The sequence below is a fragment of the Homo sapiens genome, chromosome 2 (assembly GCF_000001405.40).
Source record: "Homo sapiens chromosome 2, GRCh38.p14 Primary Assembly".
NCBI classification, from domain to species: Eukaryota; Metazoa; Chordata; class Mammalia; order Primates; family Hominidae; genus Homo; species Homo sapiens.
In genome coordinates, this window is record NC_000002.12 from 193583743 (window position 1) to 193586667 (window position 2925).

At 41.4% G+C, this 2925-nt stretch overlaps 1 annotated feature.

The window, feature by feature from the left end:
* Nucleotides 998-1127: a silencer, noted in NCBI's record as "silent region_12198". NCBI's record gives its function as "represses an Ori minimal core promoter by ATAC-STARR-seq in GM12878 lymphoblastoid cells {active_cell/tissue: GM12878}" and the evidence as "EXISTENCE:reporter gene assay evidence [ECO:0000049][PMID:35858748]".

Here is a 2925-nt window from a genome sequence, read left to right on the forward strand (position 1 = left end):
AGGTGGATCCCATTTGTGCTCACTTAGATGGGAGCGTGAGCCACATCTTTATTCCCTTGCAAATAACTTAATCTAGTGTCACCCCCGCTGCTCGATGCCTGGGCACATTTCCAGGCATTCAGAGCACTTGCTTCCCTGAAATAGGGGCCTGAGCTGCCCTTCCCTTCCCCTGCAAAGACCTAGTTGTAGCAGCAGTTCCTCTGCTCTGCAGCAGCTACTCTACTTCTTGCCGGGTGACATATTTCCAGGCAACTGGCATACCTGCTCACCTGGATTAGGTGACTGAATTGCCCTTTCCTTCCTGCGAAGAGATCTTAGTGCAGTGGCACCCTGTCTGCTCTATGCCCCGGCATAATTCCAACCATTCAGTCCACTATCTTGACTGGATTAGAAGCCTGTGTCATCCCTCTCTCCAGGTCGGAAATCTTGGTACAGTGGCGCCCTCTTCCATCCACACTCAGGCATAATTCCAGGCATTCAGCACAGCTGCTTGCTTGGATTAGAATCTGAGCCTCTCCTCCCTTTCTGTGCATAGATTTTGGTGCTGCAGTACCATCTCTGCTCCACACCCAGGCGTACTTCCAAGCATTTAATGTACTCACTTGCCTGGAGGAAAAGCCTGGGCTGACTCTCCCTTTTCATGTGGAGATCTGGATACATTGGAACCCCCTCTGCTCCATGCCCAGACATATATCCGGGCATTTGGAACACTCACTCTTCTAGATTATGAATTCAGGCTGCCCCTCCCTTCCTGGAGAGCCAACTTGGGACAGTGGAGTTATCTCCACTCTACACCTTGGCACTTGTCTGGGCACTTGGCAGCTGCCCATCAGATACCCACCCCTTGGAGCTGGTGTTTGCACCTGCCATTGGGTGACATGTAGGCGAGCCTGCTTGGCATAGCCCCATTCAGCTTGGTTCCCCACTCCAGGGCTAAGCTGGGAACTGAGACTACTATCCATTTCACAGGACACACCATTGGCTGAGGCAACAGTGAGCTTCTCAAGGTTAACAAAGATCATGCATAGGGAGATGTGTGTTGACTGCAGCCAGATCCAACCCATATTGCCACCTACTGGTGTAGACATCAAGCTGCACAACCAAACAAAAAATCTGACACCAGTGCACAGCACTAGGGAATGAGATAAGCTTCCTGAGACCTCCCCATTCTGACTCCACAGGAGGCAGTGAGCACACTCACATGTCCAGCAAATTGCTACTACAACTAGCATTTAAGAAAGTCACCATACAAAAGATATCTATAACCAAGAAACTTACATAGTCTTTGCCACTAAAGCACCTGGAACCAAAGCCAAAGAACTCTACACAATGCATATTATAGCCACACCCTCAAGGGGGAAAATCTTACTCAAATGAAAGCAAATCCAAAAATGAGAAGAGGAGATAGCTAATCAGATAAGAAGGAACCAGAGAGATAATCCTGGAAGAATGAAAACACAGAGTGTTAAAACACTAACTGCCCAGCAATGGATCCTAATTAAAATGAAATCTTTGAAATACCAAATAAAGAATTCAAAATGTTTATTTTAAAGAAATTTAATGAGACCCAAAAGAAAATTGAAAGCCAATACAAATAAATCATAAAACAATTCAGAATATGAAAGAAGAGACATATATGGTTTTATAAAACTTCTGAAAAAAAGATGTGTTGACAGAATTACAAAATATAGCTGTAAGCTTTAACAATAGGCTAGTATAAGCAAAATAAAAGATTTTAGAACTAGATGGCAGGTCTTTCAAATTAACCTATTTGAACAAAAATTCAAAAGAGATTTTAAAAAAAGCTTTTGATAAATATTGGATTATGTAAAGCCTTCAAAACTATAAGTAGTAACTATTCCAGAGATAACAGAAAAATTGTAAAATAAAACATATGGAAAATATATTCTAGGGAATAATTGAGAAAAACTTTTCTGGTCTTGTTAAAGTTCTAGACATCCAGATACAATATATTTAAAGAATTCTTGGGAGATACATTGCAAGAAGGAACTCATCAAGGAATATAGTCGTCAGACTATACAAAGTCAACAAGATAGAAAAAAATTCTAAAATGGGCAAGAGAGAAACATCTAATCACCTATGAAGGAAATACCATCAGACTAACAGCAGACATATCAGCAGAAACATTACAAATGAGAAGACATTAGGGTCCCATTTACAGTCTTTTTAAAGAAGAAAAAGTGCAAGCCAAGAATTTTGTATCTTGCTAAACTAAGTTTCCTAAATGAAGGAAAAATAAAGTTGCTCCGAGTCAAGAAAACACCAAGGGAATTTGTCACCACTAGATCAGTCCTAAAAGAAATGCTCAAACGAGTTAAAAATGGAAATGGAAGGGGTATACTTGTCATCATAAAAACGTGCAGGTCACATAAAGTAATTACACAATTGAGACTGCAAAGCAAATATGTAATAACATTATGGCAAGAAGAAAACCTCTCATATCAATATTAACTTTAAAGGTAAAGGGCTATATGCTCCACTTAAAATATGTCAGTTGGCAGAATGGATAAAAATATAAAAACTTTTTAAACATAAGCTGCATACAAAAAAACCCGCCTGATATGGTTTGGATCAGTGCCCCCACCAAATCTCATGTAGAATTGTAATCCTCAGTGTCAGAGCAGGGGCCTGGTGGGAGGTGATTTGATCATAGGGGTGGGTTCTCATAAATGGTTTAGCACCACCCACTTGGTACTGTTCTCATGATAGTGCGTTCTTGTGAGATTTAGTTGTTTAAGAGTGTGGCGGCCAGGTGTGGTGGCTATGCCAGTAATACCAGCACTTTGGGAGGCCAAGGTGGGCGGATCATGAGGTCAGGAGATTGAGACCATCCTGGCTAACATGGTGAAACCCCATTTAGGATTGTTTTACATAATTCTCTGAAGAATCACCTTGGTAGTTTGA